At 34.0% G+C, this 24794-nt stretch overlaps 1 protein-coding gene and 1 long non-coding RNA gene across 17 annotated transcripts in view; both read right to left on the minus strand.

The window, feature by feature from the left end:
* CACNA2D1 (calcium voltage-gated channel auxiliary subunit alpha2delta 1) overlaps positions 1-24794 on the minus strand; it is a 497513-nt gene that overhangs the window by 140187 nt on the left and 332532 nt on the right. The window lies entirely within an intron of this gene.
* LOC124901687 (uncharacterized) lies at positions 8125-24664 on the minus strand. The gene is made up of 2 exons (XR_007060404.1): positions 13126-24664; positions 8125-12788 (listed from the first exon to the last, which is right to left on the minus strand). It is a non-coding gene; the product is annotated as an uncharacterized LOC124901687 (long non-coding RNA).

Consider the following 24794-nt stretch of genomic DNA (forward strand, 5'->3'; position numbering starts at 1 on the left):
TAAACATTTATGACTTTTATAGTAACATTCTACTAAACAAATGTTTATTTATGATCCAGATAGACTTCATTAATCCCCAATCTATTCTATCTCTTTAATTTCCTTGATTCTTTCATTCATATTAGGCAATAACATCTAGTTATTTTTAATAAAGTTTTATTTGTTTTTAAGGCTGCTAACTTTTTCTTAGTTTTGTTTGATAACTCAACAGCTACTAAGTATTGGGTACTGACACACTGATTGTGAATTATACTTTTATAAACTGAGGGAAAAAGTCAAGCTCTACAATATTCCTATTATCCTGGCAATATGTTTTAAGATTTCCAGTTGATGCTTTGAAAATTTTCTTTTTCAGACAAGCCATTACTAAGGTAGATTTCAAAATATTTCTCTCAAAATGTGTTCATCTACAAATGAGCAAATCATATAAAGAATTCCCAGACTAGGCACTAGAACTGATTTTAAATTTGACTCAGAATGAAAGTATTGGCATTGCACACCTATCACATCAGTACGGTTTATAAATTTGATATACCCAATGTGTAGTAAGATGTAAGAATACAGACACTTCCATGTGTTAGTATATAGTTGCAGGGACTTTTAAATGCAACCATTATCCTATTAGTCACAGTCTTTTTATGGATGTCTAGAAATCAAAATTCAAAGACGATCTGCCATAGGAATGCAAAATTACTACAGCCTTTGTAGAGAGCAGTTTGACTGGATCTACCTAACAACATGCACATCGTGTTCACTGAACAATGTTCTTCAAGAGATTTATACTACGGAGAGAATATGTGTCTCCAGTTCTTCCTCAGAGTATTATAGAGCAAGAATCATTCATTCAATTCCTTAAAATACCAAAACTAGAAAGTAGGATAAAACTGCTTCACTAGGAAAGTTTTTTCTCAAATAATATTGAAAGCAGCTAAAAAAAAAAAAAAAATGGAAAAGAAAATATATAAAGCATCAAAGCCAACAAGGAAGAATGAATACTATTTTAGACCTTGGGTTATCTGCCTATATTTTTCTGATCCACATTATGCATTATATTTGACTAATAAACCTATATTACTCTGGTACCTTGAAAAGACCAGACTTTTTTTCTTCTTAACCTTATAAAATTAAATAGCTCATCCAAGATTACTAAAGTGCCCAACATTTCTCCATTTTTATGCTATTAGCACACTCAGGATAAATAATGCTGAAATAAAAGGGTAATCTGTAGATGATAGATAATATAACACTAAATGCACAATACCGGCCATGCTAAAACAAGTTTATGTCATTTCCTGGATACGAATTGTGCTCTGCCATTTCCATTGTATTTATACACACATTATCTCTCTCTCTCTTCCCTTGTCTCTATCTCTCCCCAGGATGCCCCTTAGCCCCTATCTCTGTTTCTGTCTGTCTCTCTAAATATGTGGGTAGAGTTTATTTAGGAAGTTTTTTTTGTTTTGTTTTGTTTTTTTGTTTTTAACTATTCTGGTTACAACCGGGTAAGTCAAGTGCTTTTTAAAGTTAAAAGTTGTTTTTCAGGAGATCTTTTGTTTTATATTATAAAGAGTTTATGTGGTTATGCTGGTGCCTTTCTCTATTCTTAGACAGTATTTTTAGTCTCTCCTGTTTTCCTGACACTGTAGTTCTTAAAAAATAAAAGGTACAAAACGTCATTTTTTCATAACAGGAAAAATAAAACAAGGCCAAATTCCTTGGAAAATTATTTTCAGCAAATATTACTCTAGATTATGAAACTGTATTTTTCATTCATATAAAACCTAATCTCAAAAAATAATTGTGGAACTCTGATTTACTGAAGTTCAATAAATATCAACAAAATTCAACAAAAAGTTTCATTTGTCATTGTATATCACAAAGACTTTAAAATGCAATTATTATTTTATGTCATAATCTTTATTTGAATGTCAAAGATTTTATTTAATTGTGGAAATATCAATGTAAATTAGTAGCCAAATAATGTTTAATATAAAAATTCCAGAATAAATTTTCTTTACGAAAAAACTTAAAATATTTTTGACCGTAAAAATCCTTTGATTTGGCAAGATATATTTAATAATATGTATAACAGGTGAATGGTATTCTATAAATTGGTATTATTTAAAATTATATTGTATTTTATATTCTCAATTATATATTCTATGATCTTTTTGGCACAGGGACTGGTTTTGTTAAAGACAATTTTTCCACAAATGGAGGTGGGACATGGTTTCAGGATGACTCTGTTCCACCTCAGATCATCAGGCATTACTAGATATCTCATAAGGAGCATGGAACCTAGATCACGCACATGTGCCGTTCACAACAGGGTTCATGCTCCTATGAGAATCTAATGCTGCTGCTCACCTGACAGAAGGCAGAGCTCAGGAAGTAATGCTCTCCTGCTGCGTGGCCCGGTTCCTAACAGGTCAGGGACCCAGACCGGTCCATGGCCCAGGGGCTGGGGACCTTTGTTCTATATGATATTATTTATTATATATTGACAGTTGCCCTCTTTTTCCTCCCTACCCCTGACAAATAGTAATGTTTTACATTCACATATACTTCCAGTTTCTTGCTTCAGATGAGATTAGAAGTACATGAGTGTTCAATATTTTTTCACTATAGAAGACTGCTCAGTGACAATCTAGCCTTGAACCTACTACCAGTTGCTGACAAATTTAGCTAATTGTCTTAGATTAGGAGTAAAATTAGTTCTCATTTTCTGTCAACTTTTAAGAAATGAAGATCTTTATCCCTGTTAGAAAATTCGATTTTGTAAAAATTAAGTCTTTTATAGATGTCCAAGGCCAAGCCTACTAAAAGCAGTGAATGCTTGGAAATCAAACCTTGACTTTGAGGCCTTTATTCTGAACGGCATAATAGGATTTCACTGATAATCGATTCAGAAAGCCAAGCATACATCTCTATTCTTTGTTTACTTAGTTTTAAAAAACTGGCCTTGGTGTCAGCAATTCTCCCTTTTAGAGTATTCTATTGTTCAGTCTGGATTCTCAAGAGAAGAAAGAAAAATCTAATTTGTAACAGCACAAAAGAAACCCCTTATATTTGCTGCTAATTCTTCTAAAAGACACGACTCTTCTATCTATATCTTGTTTATGACAAGGAATACAGAATATTTGACGAGCTCTGAATCCAGTGTTCTTCTGCAAACTTCAACCAATAAAATGTTGCACTATTGCTCCCTCTTAAGTTTGAATTAAGTTTGTATTAAGTTTGAATACATTTTCTTGATTTATTCAGGGTCCAAGGCCTCACCATACATTGATGGCACCATATGACTATTTGAAGAATCTTACTGTTATTTATAATGTCAACTACAGCTTTTGTAACAGCTTTGAGATGTCATTGACATATAAAATAGTATAAAGTATGAAATGTGATGTTTTGATACACCTGTATGTTGTAAAGTAATCATCAAAATCAAGTTAATTAACTTATCCATCACCTTTACATAACTACCATTAGGGTGGAAGTTGGGGGAATTAATTTAAGATCTATCCCTCCTAGAAAATTACAATACAATATTGTTAACTATCCTCGCCATGCTGTATATTAGATCTCCAGAAGTTACTCATCTTTTAAAACTGAATCTTTGTACCCTTACCTATAGCTTTCTAATAAAGCAGATTTATGCAAGAAAAAAAGAGAAAAACATTTGTTAGGACTTACTGAAAATATAAAATAACTCTAATAAGTCTTTAAGAGATGTAGCTATTAAAGATATGTAAGGGACTAGATACTAAAAATTATTTTTGTTTAACAATACCAAATATCATACAGTTAAATAAGAGAACAAGCAAAAATGTTTACCATTTCATGTAATTTATAATACTATTCTATTACAGCCTTGCATTGAGATAAAAATTAGCATGTTATTTAAACTATTGTTACTAATAGTTTAGTACTATTTTATATTTAAGTACTATTTTATATTTAAGACAGTATATTTAATACTGTCTTTGTGACAGTAAATTTTGTCTATATTTCATTCTACATTTTGGCACTCTTTGGGTTGGGCAAATTTTCATTTTAGTTTTGGAAACTTACTATTCCTTAAACAAGCAAGCAAGGGTTTCAAATCTAGTTTTTAATGCCCTTAAATGTTACCTCCTCCACACCTTTAATTTTTGGACAATCATAGAATATTAGAAACTTTGTTTAGTTTTAGATTCAACACTTATTGTAAGTATGATTCTAAACAAAAGATATCTTTTGTGGCAAACGTTCATTTCACAACATATAAATAAGGTAGTCATTTATATGTTGACTACCTTAAGAAAAGTCATTTATATGTTGACTACCTTAAGAAAAGAGCTGCATTATCAGATAAGCTGAGCCAGATGTCACTAATTTTATTCACCAACCCTAATCTCTGAAAAGAAAGATGTTAATAAGAAGAAACCTACTGATCTAATTAAGTGCACAGGGAAAAAAAGAATCCACTTTAAGGAGTAGACAGTGTGCATAAATATTAAAATGAATGAATCTTTTCAGTGGATTTGGCTAATGGAATCTCATCTAATCCCAGTGTAAATGAAAGATGAATAAGGTACAGGGAGATGGGAAGACCAAATCTAATCTCTCTAATCATGTCTCGGGCACCAGAATCCACCTCGCACTGAGGATGGGAGAGCAGAAGGCTCCAAGGCACACAAGGACCTTGATGAGGAGATAAGCCTTATTCCTACAGTTAATTTGGTACAAATATGAAAAGGCCCTTGTCCTTGTCAGTTGTCTAGCCCCTGTATTACTGAGATTTCTGGCCTTGCCCCCTATCACTTTAGTTTCCTGCGGATTGAGCACCTGGCCAATGCCCAGAACACAGCTGTTCTGCTTTAATGAAATCTGCACGCTGTGGAGCACAGAGGAGGAGCTCAGAAGAAATCCACTTTATTATTAAAGAAAACAAGGGTAATGCAAGGGGAATAGAAGACACTAGTATCTAATATCATGTCTACTAATTGAATGATTTAATGTCACTTGAAATAAAATGATAATTGTAAGATTTGAGGAGGGAGAAGGGCTGTATTTTGTATAAGAAACCTCAGAAATATAGGAGCCCCAAGGTCAAATTATTGTTTTATCCTTTAAGCATTCTAAGCTTTTCTCTCCTTAGTAGTATCAAAACCAAATAAATTATTAATGACTTTGATAGCCTAGAATCACAATCACTGGCACAACATACTACTTAAAACAAATCATTTAACTTCTTGTGCTTCTGTTCTATTCGTCTAAAAAAATGAATATAGCTATACTAAGGATCCTAGACAGCCTATAGGGTTGGTGTGAAGGTCAAATAAATTTATGAATGAGAACTGAATTAGCAAGCATATTTTTATTCCAGTTCTTTCCTCAGCTAGATTAAAATACTGTACGGTGCACATCTCCCTAAGTGTCTTACATAGACAACAACTTTTGACCTGTCAGCATACTGTTTTAGTCCAGTCAGTAATTTCCTCTTCCTTGAACAAAAACACATTTCTTTTACATAGAGCAATTAGAATGTAAATCTGTTTATGTTGTGTAAAGCAATATTCCTTCTGCTTAATCTCCTAATTTATTTAAACACTCACATCATAAGATATTCTTCATTAGAATCAGCTAGTTGAAAATTTTCATTTCAAATTTAGGAACATTATGTAATTTGTAAAATAAAGTAGAAACTTTAGCATAATTATCTGAAGAAAATACAATATCTTCTATTGATAGTACTTCACAGTCATTTTTTTTTTCTTGAGACAGAGTCTCATTCTGTCGCCCAGGCTGGAGTGCGGTGGCACAATCTAGGCTCACTGCCAAGCTCCGCCTCCCGGGTTCATGCCATTCTCCTGCCTCAGCCTCCCGAGTAATTGGGACTACGGGCACCCACCACCACGCCCAGCTAACTTTTTTTTTTTTTTTTTTTTTTTTTGTATTTTTAGTAGAGACAGGGTTTTCACCATGTTAGCTGGGATGGTCTCCATCTCCTCACCTCATGATCCACCCACCTCGGCCTCCCAAAGTGCTGGGATTACAGGTGTGAGCCACCATGCCCGGCCACTTCACAGCCATTTTTATGAGAAATTTTAGTATTTGTAATTAAATGAGTAAATAAATTGTTAAATTTCTATTCTATATTTTAGAGTAATATTTCAGTAAATACATAGCCTGCTAAACTCTCGGTAAATGAAAACAACAAGAAATACCCTAAAGATCTTTCATTTAGACCTTAAAAAGAGAAATAAAATGTGTGCGTTTAAAAAAACATCAGAAACTCTGAGAGCAGAGAAATGAAGCCGGAAGCCATAGAAGAATGAATATGCAATTAAGACCAAATTTAAAGGACTCCAAATTAAAGTGTGTGGTTTTTTTTTGTTTTGTTTTCATGCATACTATAGATTTTCTTTCTGGTGAGGCCTTTTTCTAAGTGGTATTTTTAAAATGAGCATGTGAATGTATGTAATGTGTGCAAAAACTATTCTCACCCATTATCCACCCTCTCACAGACTGCACGTCTTTCTGTCAGAAGTAACCACTTGATCTTGGGAAAGTGTTTTACCCTCTCTAAACCTCAGTTTCCTCACTCGTACAGTGGGGATAATAATAGCATCTGCATCACAGGGCTAGTTTTGAAGATTATACATACTTAGAATACTACTTGTCATTTAGTAACTGCACAATAAGTGTTACCTGCTCTCATCATTAATCATCATTATTTTCTCTGTCTCCTAATACTCAGCATTTAAAATATATTTTTAATTTATCTTGATAAATTCTGATCTGACTCCTAAAATCCAAGTATGAGTGACTAAAACCTAGTATTTTCTTTTTCCTCAAGGAACTTTTGCCCTTCTTACCCCAACCCCAGTAATGTCCAACAACACTACTTAATTTTCTTGCTATGAATCTCATGAAGAAAGGTTAATAGTCTATTAACCTTTCCATTTCAATTGCTATAAGACAATGGCAAACTGAAAAAAGATTTTTAATATCTTATGTAACTTGGTGAGAAAATAATTTTTACAATGGCATATTCCAAGTGTTCCAGAAAGCAAACCACACTGATGAATGCTGCATTGAATACAGAATAGTCGCACTAAGATTCTAGTAAAAGAAATGAAATTATATCAGGTCTAATAGGCATAACAGACACCACCCACACATACACAGGCACACACACACAAAATTATGCACATACAAGCTCCTGTTAATGCTGAGAAGAAACTCTGGCTGAGAAATACAGACCAAATTAGATAAGGGAAATCTCTTGGCTTTGCTGTGAGACTGCCCAACTGCATAAGAAATTTAGTGTCTCCATATAAATCTGGACTGCTGAATTCACAAAGAAGGATCAAAAGTATTAGAAGTGACTAATGAGATATGGTTGAAGAAGGATAACAAGGCTCCTGGGGACAAGGGTGATATTGTCAATGAGGCACACACAGCTTGGTACTCAAGGGTTTGTGTCAACCAGTTTTAGAGCAAAGAGTTGCCTGGTGATTTTAAGATGGAAAGATCAGATCCATTGAAGCACAGTACATAGAAGTCGGCTATAATCAAGAACAGTGACCCGTTGGTTTAAACATGTACTGCTTCAGAATGAAAAGAAAAAAAAAAACTATATACATCTCAGAAATTGAACTACAGATTAATACCGAATCATAATATATAAAGGTATGAATGAACTCAAGCACTATTTCTAAGACAACATGAGGTTAATATCCTTGTATCTCTAGTTGCACATGTATAGAGATTGTCCACATATACATGTATGCATACATACATGCAGAACATTACATGTTTTACGTACACAGAGAGATGGACATCTGTATACAAAAAAATCAATATTGTTAGTATTCAGGATGCCTACAACATAGTGAGCATGACTTGTTTAGATTTTAATGTACTCATTAGAGTTGACACATTAAATTTACAAGTCCTTGCTCGTGTATTACTCAGCAGATCTTAATACAGACAGGAATCTTTTTCTCTTCCAATAAATCATGTATTTTTAATTTTCATTCACAACTCAATATCCCACAAAACCTTAGATTTTTCAAATAGATTTAAAAAGCTCAAATTATTCTGACATGATCAAAACATGTACCCATAAGACTTTTCTAAATGACTTAAAAGTTTTCCAATCTGACAAAAGATAATAGAGGATGGTAAACAACCAAGTCATGTCGGTTCTAATGCCAGTGTAGCTATCCTCGTTTCTGCTCCTAGCCGTACTCTTGGGTCTTTTGTGTAACCTTTAAATACCCTCCCTCCCTCTAATTCCAGCTCACTTCCATCCATTCCTCCTACTGCTGCCACAATATTCTACTTGGCAAATGTCTTCCCTAATTAAAAGTATTTGTTGGTTCTCCATAAAAGCTGGTCTTTTATGACTGGCTTCCATCCATCCTTCTGGTGTCCTCTCCTACTGCTCTTTCAAACACAACAAGCCCAAGCCATAACAAGACTTTTGCCATTCTCAGAGGATGCAAAGTTTACTCCTGCCTCAAATGTCATTCTGTATGCTGTCTTCTCTGTCTGGACTGAGTTTTTTCCTATGCCTACTTGTTAAACTTCTCCCTTCTTTTTTATTACAGTTCAGCATCACCTGCTCTACAGGGTGTTCCTCGATTTTCCCCACACCATCTCCCCTCACCCAGCAGAGTATCAACTCCCTCCCCACTCCTTATTTTTTTCTATATTCTTCTATTAAAATACTTCCTACGTTTCACTATCTTTATGTGTGTGCCTTCTATTATACTGGGTAGGGTAGGCACCACGTTATTTTCCCTGATGCCTAGAATATAGTGAAAGAGGCAATGGGATGTGACAAACCTGTGTTTAATGCACAGTTGTACCACCTTGAGTAAACTATACAATTGCACAGACTTCTAGTTTTCAGGAATGAGGTGGAGAAAACATTATGTACAATAGCTAGGGTTGTGAAAATTAAAATATGCTATACTTAACGTATAACAGGCACGCCATAAACAGTAATAACTAGTATGTTTTGGTACATACTAACAATATCTATTTGTTAATGAATGAAAGAGTGTGTGAATATATGAACTGTACCTCTCTGTTGGATATTTTTAAGTTGGAAATAATTTTCATCATATCTGACCAAGTACAAATGGTAGAACATTTCCTTTTCTTTCCTTCAACCAACAATGATAGGCGGTGGATGGGTATCATCTGAATCAGAGAGATTTCATCCATTCAAATGTCCATTTAATCCTGTTTTTAGTTTAACTTCAAGTTCTGTGATAAAATCACCCCTTTTAATGGAGATGTTCTGAAGAGCGTGGTGTAAATACTGGCCCAATTTTTAGATAAGTCCTTTAAGTCAGTGAATATCACTATGAAGCTTCTTGTTAAGTATTTCCCAATGTATGTGCTTCATTTTCTAATCATCTCATTTCTGTCAGACATTCATCCAATAAATATTTACTAAACACCTATTATGTGTCTGGAACCTTTCTAAGCTCTTGAGCACGAGAATAGGCACACTTTTTCTTAAAGAACCAGGCGGTAAATGTTTTAGGTCTATGGTCCACATGGTCTCTGTCACAACTCCCTTTACAGCAGTAGCACAAAAACTTCCTTAGACAACACATAAACAAATGGGTGTGGCTGTGTTCCCATAAAACTGTATTTATAAAAACAGACAGTGGGCCATACTTTGCAGACTCCTATACCCGAGCTCCAGGGCCTATCAAGACAGACAGGACTTCTAACACTTTACTGGAAGAGAAACACAATAAACACATAAGTAAGAACATCATGAGTGCTCTTTAAAGAATTAAATCTGGAGATGCCATAGAGATTGACTAGGTGGCTACCGTAAATCAAGTTCTCAGGAATATCCTCTCTGAAGAACTGTATTTTAAACTGGGATTTTAAAGACAACTAGCCATGGAAATATTAATATAAAGCATTTCAATAAACCAGTAGACACAATGATATTGACAAATAGGAAATACCTAGATATCAACATGATGGTATGATCTAGTATGATATTGCAAGGACAAACTCTCAATATCAAAATATCCTGCAATAACAAAACATCCAAACAGATACAGATGGCACAAAAGAGTATTGTGACAGATTACAGTTTCAATTTTTTACTGTAATTGATATATCCTAGAAAGAAAAAGGTCTAACTCCAGCATCATATTTAATCATTTTTAAAAATCACTATTTAATAATTCTTCATAAGGCTCTTAAAATTCAATTTCAAATAAGTTGTGATCACTATTTTTGAAGATACTTTGAGTCTAATTGAGAAGACACATAGATAAAGCATCTAAATCAAATTTTGCTTTGCATAACAGACCCTATGAGTAACACCTGCCTATCAGAAACTAAGCAAAGGTTTTGAGGGGCAGGGTAGAAGTAGTGGTCACAAAAGATTTTCTGAAAGAGGTGATAAGCAGTATTAAAGAAAGGGCAGAGAGGTAGTAGAAGGACCGCATGCCTGATCCAGTGAACTCGCTGTACAGGCACACAGGCAGAAATAGACATAGGGCATTCTGGGAGTTGAACATTGTTCAAAACAGCTGAATGGATGAGGAATGTGGGGCAATTGCAGGGATGTTATTAGAGAGACATGATTATAATAATCTAGGAATACTAAAGTTAAAATAATTATTCTGAGAATTACAGAGGGCCATAATAAGCTGAAGTATGAAATAATCATATCTGCAAAAGCCAGCCAGATGTGAATAGAGAAGAGAGAAAGCAGGTACCATCAGACTGGTGAGGAGTAATACCATTCTGAACTAAAACAGCGGTGGTGGATATAGAGAGTGGAAAGAGATTAAAAAGATGTTGAGAAAAAATCTACAGGCCACAGTAACAAATGTGGGAAAGGAGAAAACAGGAAGCATGGTTTTCTGACTTGGGTTCTTAGTGTTATTAACAAAGATATGAACATTGGAAGAGAGGTACACTTGGGGACAACAGTGATACATTCAATTTTGAACATAACGTGAGGTGCTTCTGAGATATCCATTAAACCGCGTTGTTTAAAAAAGGCAATCAGAGTAGTCAATCTGCATCTTAGCCATGAAGTGTATAAGGAAGAATCAGATTTGGGAATCATGTTTCAGTGACAATTCAAAATATTGCTTGACTAAAATTATCACTAAAATGACACCAATAATGTCTATGAATCCTCAGGTTTAAGAGGCAAGCAAGGACAGGTCCAGTAGCTCACGCCTGTAATCCCAACACTTTGGGAGGCCGAGGCAGGCAGATCACTTGAGGTCAGGAGTTCAAGACCAGCCTGGCCAACATGGTGAAACCCTGTCTCTACTAAAAATACAAAAATTACTCGGGCATGGTGGCATGCATCTATAGTCCCAGCTACTTGGGAGGCTGAGGCAGGAGAATGACTTGAACCCACGAGGCAGTGGTTGCAGTGAGCCGAGGTTGCAATGAGCCGAGATTGCACAACTGCTCTCCAGCCTGGGTGACAGAGCAAGACTTCGTCTAAAAAATAAAAAAAATAAAAAAATAAAGCAAGAAATAGGAATCAGATAGAAGTTGCTAAGAGGAAGCAATGTAGACCCAACTCTCACAAACAAAAACATAATTTCCCATTAAAAAGTGATCAGTGACTGGTACACTTTAACATTGTTTTCATTTAACTAAAATGGCAAAATGTGCCTTTTGCATTAAAATAAATGTACTGATTATAAATTCCATGTATCTATATAAAACTCACTCTATCAAGAAGAGATAATATGAAGGATGTTGAAACCAATACAAACCCATTATTTTCTAATGCATTGTTTTATTTGCCTTTTTCAAAATCATTATTGATGTAAATCATGTACCCAGGGATAGAACGCCTGCATATCTTACATGTACAGCACTTTGACTAATGCTTGCTGTGCACTTGGAGAATAAGCAATTTCCCTGCTGCCTCCATTAGAATGATGAGGTAATCTACTGTGCCTTTACACTTACAGCAAGCCTCAAGAGACTGAGGCTTGATGATTACATGGTCTTATAAGGCCATAAAGTTCTACCACAGGAGTCATATATGTATTATAAAGATACTTCAAATTGCTGACATAGTCTCCTCACCATCAATGCGTGACTCTTCTGCAATTCACTTGCACCTCTGGCTTTCTGAAATGATTTAAAACTGCATCAGAACTCAATGCATGCATGCCAAACATCATCATCAGAAGGCAGGTCTGACAAGATTTAATTACTTAGAAACTTATCAGATTTTTAATCCTCAACAATAAAACTATAAATGACTTTTCAGTAAGATGTAATACCAAAATGCATATTTCTCAAAACACAAAATTAGACATGTTAAGAATAAACTCAATTTAATTTTAAACCAGTAGTTACTCTGATGTAAACATTGATGTTATACTGAAATGAATTTTACCATTCTTCCCAAAACGCATTTGCCTTCATATTAATCTTACTCATGGTTTTAAAAGAATCCTTTACTTTCTTGTCAGTTTGCATTCTGTATCAAACTGACGGAAGCCAAGATCTTTCACATTATTTGTCAGTTTCACTGCCCTTTCCAAATATATCTGTAGCAAAACCTTTTCATTTGTCTGATCCAGTTGAAAATCTTTTATATTCATTTTACTGAGACATCAGTCTTCAATTTTTCCCTTCCATTCACTATTCCTAGATGTGACACTTCTAACAATTTGTAGTTAAAATTAAAAGCCAGTACATTTTATTACTGTTTAATATATTCTTTCTTTTTCTATTTTTAAAATTACATACTCTAAAACAGGTAGCAATACCTTCTTTTTTTTTTTTTTTTTTTTTTTTTTTTTTTTTTTTTTTTTTTTTGAGACGGAGTCTCGCTCTGTCGCCCAGGCTGGAGTGCAGCGGCGGGATCTCGGCTCACTGCAAGCTCCGCCTCCCGGGTTCACGCCATTCTCCTGCCTCAGCCTCCCAAGTAGCTGGGACTACAGGCGCCCGCCACTACGCCCGGCTAATTTTTTGTATTTTTAGTAGAGACAGGGTTTCACCGTGTTAGCCGGGATGGTCTCGATCTCCTGACCTCGTGATCCGCCCGCCTCGGCCTCCCAAAGTGCTGGGATTACAGGCGTGAGCCACCGCGCCCGGCCGCAATACCTTCTTAAACAGGAAGGTAGGAGTGTGTGTGAATCACTGTAGGAATCAGATCATATTATTCTGTTCTCTATGTAAACTGATGTGTACTTAATACATGTACAATTAATGACATTTACATCATTTAAAAAGTAGTTCTACATGGACACAGGGAGGGGAACAACACACACTGAGGCCTGTCAGGGGGTAGGAGAAGGGAGAGCATTAGGAATAATAGGTAATGCATGGTGGGCTTAATACCAAGGTGATGGGTTGCATGTTTACCTATGTAACAAACCTGCACATCCTGCACATGTACCCTGGAACTTAAAAAAAATAAGAAAAATAGATTTCAAAGGAAAAAAAAATTTAGTTCTGATACATCTACACACTGCAAAAACCTTATATAATTTTTTGTGTGTGTGTGAGGACAGAAAAAAGTGAGTTTTTCAGGCTTTTAGAGATTCCAAATGCAATGAGATTGAATTTACTGTTTGTGTTAGTCTCAAAGGGGCTTTTCCTTAATGCAAATTTATTTTCTTGATTCCAAGGGTATGCCCTGTGATCTTTTCTACTTCTTGAAATGTCTTATTATTTCATATAAAGTTTTTTATTTTAAATCAAAAATCAAATTTTTTATCTAGAATTCACATCCTTTATTAAAATATAATAAATCATTCACAGGTATTATTAGTGTTTTTAGAGCATAAAGATGTGTTCATTAAGATGAAAACTTTCCTGAAACCCCTGGATGTTATTTGTTATGTCCATTTCTAAACAACTTCCTTCTTTCAATTTGTTCAGAATAAGTTGAAATAAATGCTATCAACGTCAAAATACAGACTATCAAAGTGTACTTATTTTCTAGCTTAAGAAACTTTTATCTGGAATTTGAATCAATGCACAGCTTGCTGGAAAGATTTCTATGCATGAAAGATATACATATATGAAGTGTATACACATGTGTATTTATGCCAAGTAAAACAGAGATTTAGTAGAAGATTTGAAATGGTATTCTAAATATTTCAATTTTGAGAATGTTACCCACAAAGGTATATTTTATTTTAGACCAAGATTGATTTCCTGAACTTTTTAACTTTTTTTTTTTTTCTGGCAAATGCTGTAATGCTATTTTCTAAGTAGAGCTTAGAAATGTTTAATTGTACAAATTTTTGAAATGTACAAATCATAGTAAGACCATAATTTTGTGGATAAACTCTTTGAAATATAATGGAATTAGAATATTTGGCAATATTTCATGCTGAAATCTAGAACTTACTATTTATACCAAACACAAATATAGATACAGATCTGCCAAATGTGTAAATGTCATATTCCTTTGTAGACTTTTATCCTGGAGGATTCTTATTTATATAAGATATTATATAAGTAGATTAAATTTGTAGTCACCACACACTAACATAAAATGAAAATCTAAAGAAGAAAACAATTCTGCACAAGTACCAACTGTATATTACCAACAGAATTTGAAGTTTGGAACCAAGTGGGTGGGTATTGGTTAGAACAGACTTCTCAACATTCCTGTACCAAAGTCTCCAATATTATCATTAATATTACAATATAGCAGAAGGTCTACATTTGGCATGGCCAAAGTCTTGGGGGAGCACACAGGTGATGATGGGTGACAAATGCCTTCTACATTATTTACCTAGAAATTCAACAAATGAAAGTCAGTAAAACGTTACATGACAGATGGAAGTAATAAGACAAATGAAAATCTAAAAGTTCCAAAGTAAAATTTCCAATATATTTTAAAGTATACTTTATTGATAAATTGAAAATCAACAAGGCACATAATAGTCATACTTAGTCCATTGATAACCTCTAATTTATTTTCGGTTTCCATTTAGGTTTTATCCTTTGTGATCTTAATGAAAAATATTTCAATTAAGGTGAGTATAGCAATGCTATAGTTGCAGTAATGGTATTAGAATATGATACATAGTTTCCCATAATGCAAAAATGTCTTATTTTATTGATAGTTTAAATATGCTTCTTTCCGTTTTTTACCGCAATCTACCAATTCAGGTTAAATTCAATCTCTTAATTTGATTTTGGCCTCTAACCTATGATTATATAGTACATGTTAGTTCAATTATTTTTGTCATAAATTAAGTGGTGTAACTGTATCAGTAGGAAAGGTTAACATCACATACTGTGGGTCACAGATTTTGAATTTTATATAATAAATTGGAGATATTATTTCAGCATATAAGATTTATGTATTCAGGTAATATATTGATCTGTGGACATGGAAAGGAACAAAAATGTAGACTTAAACTATCAAGAGCCTAAAATCAATTTCTCCTCCAACCTCCTAAGAGAGTAAGCTGTGGGTTTTTGTTTTCCCTAACCTGCCATTGTTTTAAAATCGGGACTAAAGAGAAAAAGGATAGAAGATTGAAAATAAGAGAAGGGAAGTAACAGTTCTATTGTGCAGCTCCTGAAAATCTGATTGAGAAAGGTTTTAAGACTTGAAAAAAATAAGCTTTAAAATTTATTTTAGAGATAAAACTTTTAGATAAAAATTTTGATTTTGAAACATCTTGGGGAAAAAAAATCCTGAGAAGCAGAGGAAGCCAGATTTAAATCAATTCATTAGTAATTTTATAAATAGAAGGATGACACAAAGATAAGTAAATGAATAATATTTCAGGAAGATTTAAGTGGAAATACCATATTTGTTGTGTGTATTTGAGATATATATATACACATGCATATATACATATATATACACACACACACACGCACACACACATATATAATTTAAGTAGGTAAAAACATCAAAGTAGTTGGTTTGTTGCTGTTTTTCACTCATCCTACAACCCACTGCTTGCTGCTGGTGGAATTCAGGTGTGGAAAGTGGGGCAGTCTGCAGTATGTTTTCATTCAACGAAGGAACTTAGACTGATGGAGATTCCATCTACAAGGTCATGGGGCAGAAAGAGAGTTCCAGAGGGCCCTGTGCTGGCAATTAAATCCACCAGCTTGAAAGTCATACATGTCACTTCCACCTATAACCAATGGAAAAATGTCAACCACATATTACCACCCTGCTGCAGGTTAGAAAGGGTGCATAATCCTATGTGTTGAAAGGAGAGATTCAGATTCCTTTGAGCAATGAAGTATCTACTAAGCCTTGTCACAGCACAAAACACTAAGATGTATTCATGAAATGATTATTTTTAACTTCATTACAGACATAACCTATATACTAGAAAATCCGTGACTTTTAATAATTATTTATGTGGATAAACAAAAGAGGAACAACTTGGCCAGGCGCTTGGGCTCATGCTGGTAATCCCAGCACTTTGGGAGGCTAAGGCAGGCGGATCACTTGAGGGCACGAGTTCGAGACCAGCCTGGCCAACATGGTGAAACCCCATCTCTACTAAAAATACAAAAATTAGCTGGGCATGGTGGCAGGCGCCTGTAATCCCAGCTACTCAGGAGGCTGAGAGAAGAGAATCGCGTGAACCAGGAGGTGGAGGTTGCAGTGAGCTACTGCACTCCAGCCTGGGTGACAGAACCAGACTCCATTTTAAAAAATAAGGAATAATCTAACAAAAAAACAGAAAGTCTGGAATGTGTTTAGAATTACCCATGTTGTTCTAAATGAAGCAAAAGGTCTATTTTAATTAAGAGAGGAGAAAAGATTATGTGTTGAAAGTCTTGAAAGGCAGAGAAAGGAATATTATAACACTGTGGTTATGGCATTTTTTTACATAGAGTCCTAATGGCTACTTTTGTACATAATTCTTAATGTCGAGTTTTACCGAAGTACTATAATACTCAACAAGACACATGATTACCAGTTACTCAAATTTACATTTTATGTTAATTTTTTATTATTTGTACAAGTTAATGCCAGTTATAAAATTAGATGCTTGCCAAATAAACATTTGTGTGTGTATATACATATTCAGATTTTGATAGAATGCATAAAAATAGAAGTCAATTTTAATCTTAGCACATCCTTTCTGAGAAAACTAAAAACAGTATATTTAATGCTCTATGAGTAAAATATATTTAACTCCCCAACCCGAATATGTATAGTTAATTCTACTGATCCATAAGAACTGGCTTTATTGTGGCCTAATGATAGTTTTTATTATTGTATTTTCATAAACTTAACTGAACTTTATTTAAAAGATTATAAACAAAAAATATACTTTATTACACACAGAGGGAGGCTGCATATTCATAACTTGAAGGCCATCAAAGTGAATAATTTCATATTCAAATTTTCAGGTTTTGTCTATTCATTAAAATATAAACCATCTCAAAATCAGCTACTAAAAGTTTTATTCACAAGCTATTTAGAATACTGTAATATTTGTGCTAAAAGAACCATGAAAAGAATCTAATTAATTAAATTAATTTGCATTTGAGCAAATTTAATTAATTGTATAATTCATCACGTTTTCCGTTATTTTAATACTGACTTTTTTAATTTAATGAATAAATGAATGAAAAGAGGATGTTTATATGTACACAGTTCCATGTTCAAGAACTTGTATTAACAGTAGATGACAACATTCTCATTAGACAGACTAAACAAAATGATTTATACTTGTTTTCTTATGAAAATGAAGCATACTGATAAATAAAATTAGACTGATTTTGGTTTAACCATCATCTAAGAGTGATCTAGTCACCTCATACATGTTTTCTTTTAATCCACATTACAGTCCTTTGAGGTATTATTATAAATATTATATTCTTATGAAAGACAATTTTGTCATACTATTTTTACTTAAGGACTGTTTATTCAAATGTTCACTGAATATCACCGTTTTCCTTTTATAGTTTAAAAATTTTATTTCTTACCCCTTATTTTTGGAACCATTCCACTTATGTTTAAAAAGGCTATCCAGTTCACACTATATTACTTCTTCCCTGACTTTTCCACTTTTAAAAGCCTTTGAGGAATCTTCAAAAGCAACCCACAACATCCTTTAAAAAATAAGTATGAGACAATCAACTAATAGAGTAAATATGAACTCCTATGTGAAAATTTTAACAGTACGATACGATTTAAGAATACATGTTGTAATTGAAGTGATGTGACTACAATATATCAATAGTATTCTTCATTAAAATGATTATATATAACACTTGCATGGTCTTTTAAAATTATAGATGACTGCCTTTCAATTATACCATCTAGACATTAGAGGGAAGATTCTATTTCTCAAATATTCTTGGAAATCCTTATTTTGAATTATACTTGAAATTGATGACAAATATTTTGGACCCTTCAGGAATTATCTTATTTTTCAAACAGCTATAACTCCTCTAGAATTAAGTCCGATGAAAAACACTGTCTTATTCTTTTTAAAATATGGTAATTATTTTCCCTAGACTAAAAAACTGTTACTGAAGGTAATTTCAAAAGAGAATTGTAAGGTTAAAATACCAGAAATAGCATATATGCAAAATTATTGTGTCAATCTTATTCTCATTTAAAATACTAAGAGAAAATGATTTTATATAATTTAAAACTTGGTTAATTTGAGAATACACAAACTGTTAATAATGAATGACAAATACAGAGGATAATCAATTTTATCCATTTACCCTTCTATCACAAATGAGAAAATGTTGGTTATATATCCTAGAAAATTAATCAAACCAGTTTTTGTCTTTTTTTTTTTTTTTTTTTTTTTTAGCTTTGAGGTGGAGCTGAAAATTTATGACGGTCACAAATTAAATTATTCTGGAATTAATGATTTTCTCCTCCAGGTCAAAAAATTCCTCTGACTTATAAAAGGTGTAGATTAAATAGAGGAGCCATTTTGAGTATAAATAATACTATCTCCATATAAAATTTGTTTCTTTCAAATATGAAGCCTTCCACCAACGGCCTGTATGACTCATCTGGGGACTTCTGCTCTATACTCAAAGTGGCTTAGTCACTGCCAATGTATTTCCATATGAGGGACGATGATTACTAAGGAAATATAGAAACAACAACTGATCTTCACAGACTTGGAAGTGTAGTAATGGCACACTTCTTCAATCACATGGCAATCTAGGTGAATACAAGATAATAACTGGCCCCAGTGTCCATGACGCCTACATGAACATCCACACATGTTCCAGTGACTGTCATTTGAAAGAAGCAAGCAAAAACAGAGCCACCTTTTTAGAAGACTGAAACAATATTAGCATGGCCTTTAGTACTATTTTATGATACTCTATAACTCAGGTAGTATTTTTTTAAAATAACATTATTCATTAAACTAAAATTTACATATAACTTCATTTGATCTAATGACAAATGTTGACTAAATCCAATCTGAATGTTTGCATATCTCATAACCCGGTATCTTTAAAGTCTGATCTTCGAATTTTGAGACAAAATAAACATGAAATCTTTATAGTCCATTTAAAATCTTTGTCGTTTTAATAAAATTTTAGAAATATCTTTTAAATGCCTTTCTACCTCTAGGGAGAAATCGAGTAAGATTTTATCCACGAAGTCAAATGCCAAATGATTAAAAAATCCTCATCTCAAATTCCAGACCCCCATTTTTTTTTCCAGTTGTCAATCCCTTTTTAATTTGCTGTGAACAGTACTGTCAGCCTGTTTTGGAAGCTATTTTAATTTAAGATTATCTCTCTTCTTCAACCTTTGAATGGCCTGTCATTTGTTATACGCATCATAAAAGCTAGCCAAGTGCACTTCTGATTTCCAGCTGTCAATTTATAGAGGCACTGAATTTTGCACACATTCTTTTTCATGTCTTCCCTCTGGGTTTCCTTTTAATTTTTTTTTTAAACAGTAAATTTTTATTTGTATTCCCTACTAAACAGTAAGAAAAAATAAAGCAATAACTGGATTTTTTGCAAATCCCTGAATATTCTTATTCCATAATAGACTAAAAAAAATCACAATATTTTCTTTAAACATTGTGCCTAGGTAATTGTGAAAACCAAATGGAAATGAAGAAAATCTAGTATTGTAAAATACTTGAGCTCCTTCTTAAGAAAAGGCACTGAGAAATATCAGCTCTGAGAAGTACTTGTGGAAAAATATATGATATGATATTCCTTTCTGACTTATGTGCACACACTAGACAGTGTGCTAGGATTTATGTGATCTGCATGTGGGCATTGTTCTCCTAATTAGATAGAAAACATGGGTTCAATACCAAGATTAACCATATATGCTGACATAGATTCTTAAAAACTTGAAGTACTCTTAACTCACTGAATGTCCTCCATGAGGCTTTCCTAAGAACAGCAGAATTTCCTTTGGCTGTTTCTTATATATTTGGCCAAATATATAACATGAGATAAATTTGTAATGAAATATAGTACAAGAGATACAGAGTAAAACATTAAAAACTATCCAACATTTTATGCCTTGATTTTGGCAGACTTAGTAGTGTCTACTAAGGCTGGCATGAAGCATGTAAGATTCAATCATTCTCCTGTAGTACCCTAGGTAGTTCTGGGGAGCAAATCCAAAATGCTCCCAGGGCCATGGAAGGAATGGACAGGAAGTTTTCACATACAACAGAGATGTGTGTTGCCTGGGTCAAAGGAACCAGAAAAAAACAGAAATCCAAAACAAAGAGTCAGCATAAACTAGCTACAAGGCCCGCCATCTACCCAGCCCTGCCCTAAGTTATCCAGACAGGTAACGACTAACCATCCTTGTTCTTCCCTTCCTCTCTCTGCTTCTCCCTAGTTTGGGCAAAATTCAAAGAGCAGCTATCAAAGCCCAGCCTCCACTGAAGGCTTCCATTAGCTCTTCACTAAGGTAGGGAAGAGGAGTTAACACTAACACAAATTTGGAAATTTCACTATTACAATGAAAATAAACTTTTTTTTTTTTTTTTTGAGACAGTCTCGCTCTGTCACCCAGGCTGGAATGCAGTGGCACAATCTCAGCTCACTGCAACCTCCACCTCCCAGGTTCAAGCCATTCTCCTGCCTCAGCCTCCCGAGTAGCTGGGATTACAAGCACACATCACCACACCTGGCTAAGTTTTGTATTTTTAGTAGAGGCAGGGTTTCACCATGTTGGCCAGGCTGGTCTCGAACTCCTGACCTCAGATGATCCGCCCGCCTCTGCCTCCCAAAGTGCGGGGATTATAGACATTAGCGTCCGCGCCCAGCCGGAATTTCTTAATTGAGACATTTTTATTGAGATTGTTTTTATGTCTAAAGGTAATCTAGATCATTTTGTTATTTTGAATCTCCAGGAAAGTCATCCTTATCCAGGGTCACTCACTGAAAAGGTTTAATAGGCTATCAAAATAAAGTTGGATTTTCACAACAAACCACGTCACATTTGTACAAAGTGATTCATACAGAAAGCAAAGTGAGTTATAAATGGTATCAAATTTAGAATATGCCCATTTCTTAATATACAGCTATCTGAAAAAGTGATTATGTGAATTAACTGAAACATACTTGTGAGAGGTAAATGTTACATAGTCACATACATATATGAAAAATATTGGGTAAAACAAATTTTATTTATTCCTAGCAGAATTTCTTTGACCTTTTAAGGGTTAGTGTGTACTATGAACCTCCAAAGAAGTAGCTATAAAGTATAGCTACTTACAGATATCCTCATATCTGCATGTACTCAATGAAAGAGAAGGATTCCTCTTCATCGTAGAAGGCCACCAACCCTTTCAGATTGAGGCCCGCTTTTGTGACCTCATTTAATCCTAATTACTTCTTAAAGTCCCTACCTCCAAGTATCACATCACATTGGAGGTTAGAGCTTCAACATATAAATTGGGGATGGAGGGAACACAATTCAGTCTAAAGCAATTTACAATATCTATAAAGCTATTACTAATTGGTCTGCTGTTCTGTGATCTGAAATGAATTAAAAAACCACTATCTATATGATAAGAATACTGTATCTTTGGCATTTGGGTTGATAAGTAGTCAATATTCTCTTATCAGAAAGTCAATAGTATATTGTTCTCTATGAATATGCATGTATTACATAAATGTTATTTTAAAAAGATAGTGAAAGTAAAGGCCATCTTTACCTCAGAAGTAGAATTGTTTCTCTTTGTGCCAAACTTATTAATTATGGTCAAATTAGCCTAGCTTAAAATTTATATTCTCTAACTCAGGCTTGTCCTCAATGTCTTATGATGTTCTTACCATTTCCCTGCTCGCACCTAATGAGAAACAATGTTAATTATGTAAGCTAATCACTTTATTACAATAGACAATCACTTTGTTACAGAAGCAATTGTACTTTTTAAAAAGTGCCCTTTCTTAGCACTTAATCAGATTTCTGGTTGCATGAGTCAGAATCAAGACTTTATAATTTAAATAGCTCTTTAAAAGAAAAAAGGAAAAGCTACTCTGCTAATATCAGAACCATGACAACATTTTACTGAAAGTTCTTTAAAAACATTCACTTTTTTAGTCATTTAACATACAACTCTATATATTATATATAATGATGTACTTTCCAGAATTAAAGAACCCTTTTTTTTGCAAATTATCTGGTTTTAAAAAATCAATAAACACAAAACTTAAGAAGGTCCTACTGATGAAAACTCTTTTATGATTCTATTGTGATCCAGATTCACACTTGTGACAAATACCAAGCATAGAAAACAATTACCCTGAAAAATACCAGTGGGTTGGAAGTGTAGTGGATTTTTCAGCTCTTCATCTGAGCACTAGATATGTTAGGAAATTTGTCACGGTGAGGATATTCATATATGGCAGCTCATGTAAGTCATGTCCTGTTAGACTAATCAGCAATTTTAACAAGAATGAGTCAGCATCCTGTAAAATTTAGAACAATTGGTTGAAAGCCTGTTTTGATTTCTACCATGGTAACAATGAAACTATCAAATAAAAAAATATTTTTTGGAATTATTTGACTGTTGTTCATGAAACAAGTTTGGTATGGTTTAGATTGGAGGAACATGGTAATATTTTGAGTTAGTGAGAAAAATTGTTCTGTTTTATTCATCTTAACTTTGCTATTTGGGGATTTAAAAATAGGAAGACAGAAGCATTTCCTATTAGATAGATTCCTTGCATTACTTACTGCATGCAATCCTCACTGCACCCTAACAAGGTATATTCACCTCCTTTGATTGTAAAGAAGTTGAATATGTAATTCAGCAATAAAGCCAGGACTTGCATCCACTTCTGTTAGGTTCTATATTCTTGTCCATGATCCATAGCTAAACCCTGATGAAGTGAATGACGTCGTTTTTTACCCCAGGATTGTACATGTTTAAAATTCTAGCGTTTGGAGGCTCAGATTTTTTTGTATAAATGTGTTATTTCAGCCTACCTGTCCATCATACCTCCTGTTCTTATACCTTTTATGCCTATTCTTATCAACATAGTATCCAATGTCCACAACTTTTTCATAAAGATGGAAAAGATTACAAAATTCTTCCTCCAGAAAACATCCCGCAGCTTTCCATTTATGTTATGGATTGGATGTTTGTATACTCCCAAAATTCATATGTTGAAGCCCTAACCACCAATGTGATATTATCAGGAGATGGGGCTTTTAGGAGGTAATTTCCATGAGGTCATGAGTGTGGAGCACCTACAATAGGATTAGTGGCCTCATGAGAAAAGAGCTTGCTCGCTCTCTCTGCTAGTGCAGAAGAGGTCATGTGAGGACACACTGAGAAGACCCAGGAAGAAAATTCTTACTGGGCACCAACCTGCACCTCGATCTTGGACTTCCTAGCCTCCAAAACTGTAAGAAATACACGTCTGTTATTTTAGCCTATCTGTCTGAGATAATTAAGACAATCTCAAAGTAAATATCAGAGTCTTTGCAATCGTCCATAGGGCTGTGGCTGACATGGCGTCTGCTGCTACCCCTGCTCCCCGTTCGCTTGCTAACTCTGCTCTGGCCACAATGGTCTCCCTGCTGATTATGAGCCCACCATGCTCCTGCCTGAAGATCTTTGAGTTTTCTGTTTCCATGGCCACAGCCTTCTTACACAGGTGATTTTTATGGCTCACTTGCTCACAAACTACAGACTTCAATTACAAAATTGCCTTAGCCACAAGGCCTTCTCTATCTACCCATTATAAAATTTCACTCTTCTCTCTTAACCCAGGCACTATCATTAACCTCTTCTCTATTTTTATCGAGAGCACTCATTACACTACGATATACACTATTATTTTAATTGTTTGTTTTACACTCCACTCCCCTCCAATAGAATGCAGGCTCCATGAGTACAGAGAATTTTGACCATTTAGTCAGTGCTATATTCCCATTATCTGGAAAAGTACATGACATACTAGGTCCTTAATAAGTATTTGCTAAATGAAGAAATGTGTTAAAGGCAAAATAAAGAGAACATTTAATATTTTTCATTCCTATGATATATATTTTAACATACATATATATTTGAAGTTAGTTTTAATTAATAAAATTTCACTTGATGATTGACTGCTTCTGAGGTAATTAAATGGTAATACCATGTCTAAAAAAGCTATTTTCCTAGTTATGATGAACTTTTCCTTGATATATATATATACACACACATATATATATGTCTGGGTATATATATATATATATATATACGTGTATATACGCATACACGTATATATATTCATATATATGTGTATATATGTATATATATATTCATATATGTGTATATATGTATATATATATTCATATATGTGTATATATG

Source organism: Homo sapiens, chromosome 7, assembly GCF_000001405.40.
Source record: "Homo sapiens chromosome 7, GRCh38.p14 Primary Assembly".
Taxonomy (NCBI): Eukaryota; Metazoa; Chordata; class Mammalia; order Primates; family Hominidae; genus Homo; species Homo sapiens.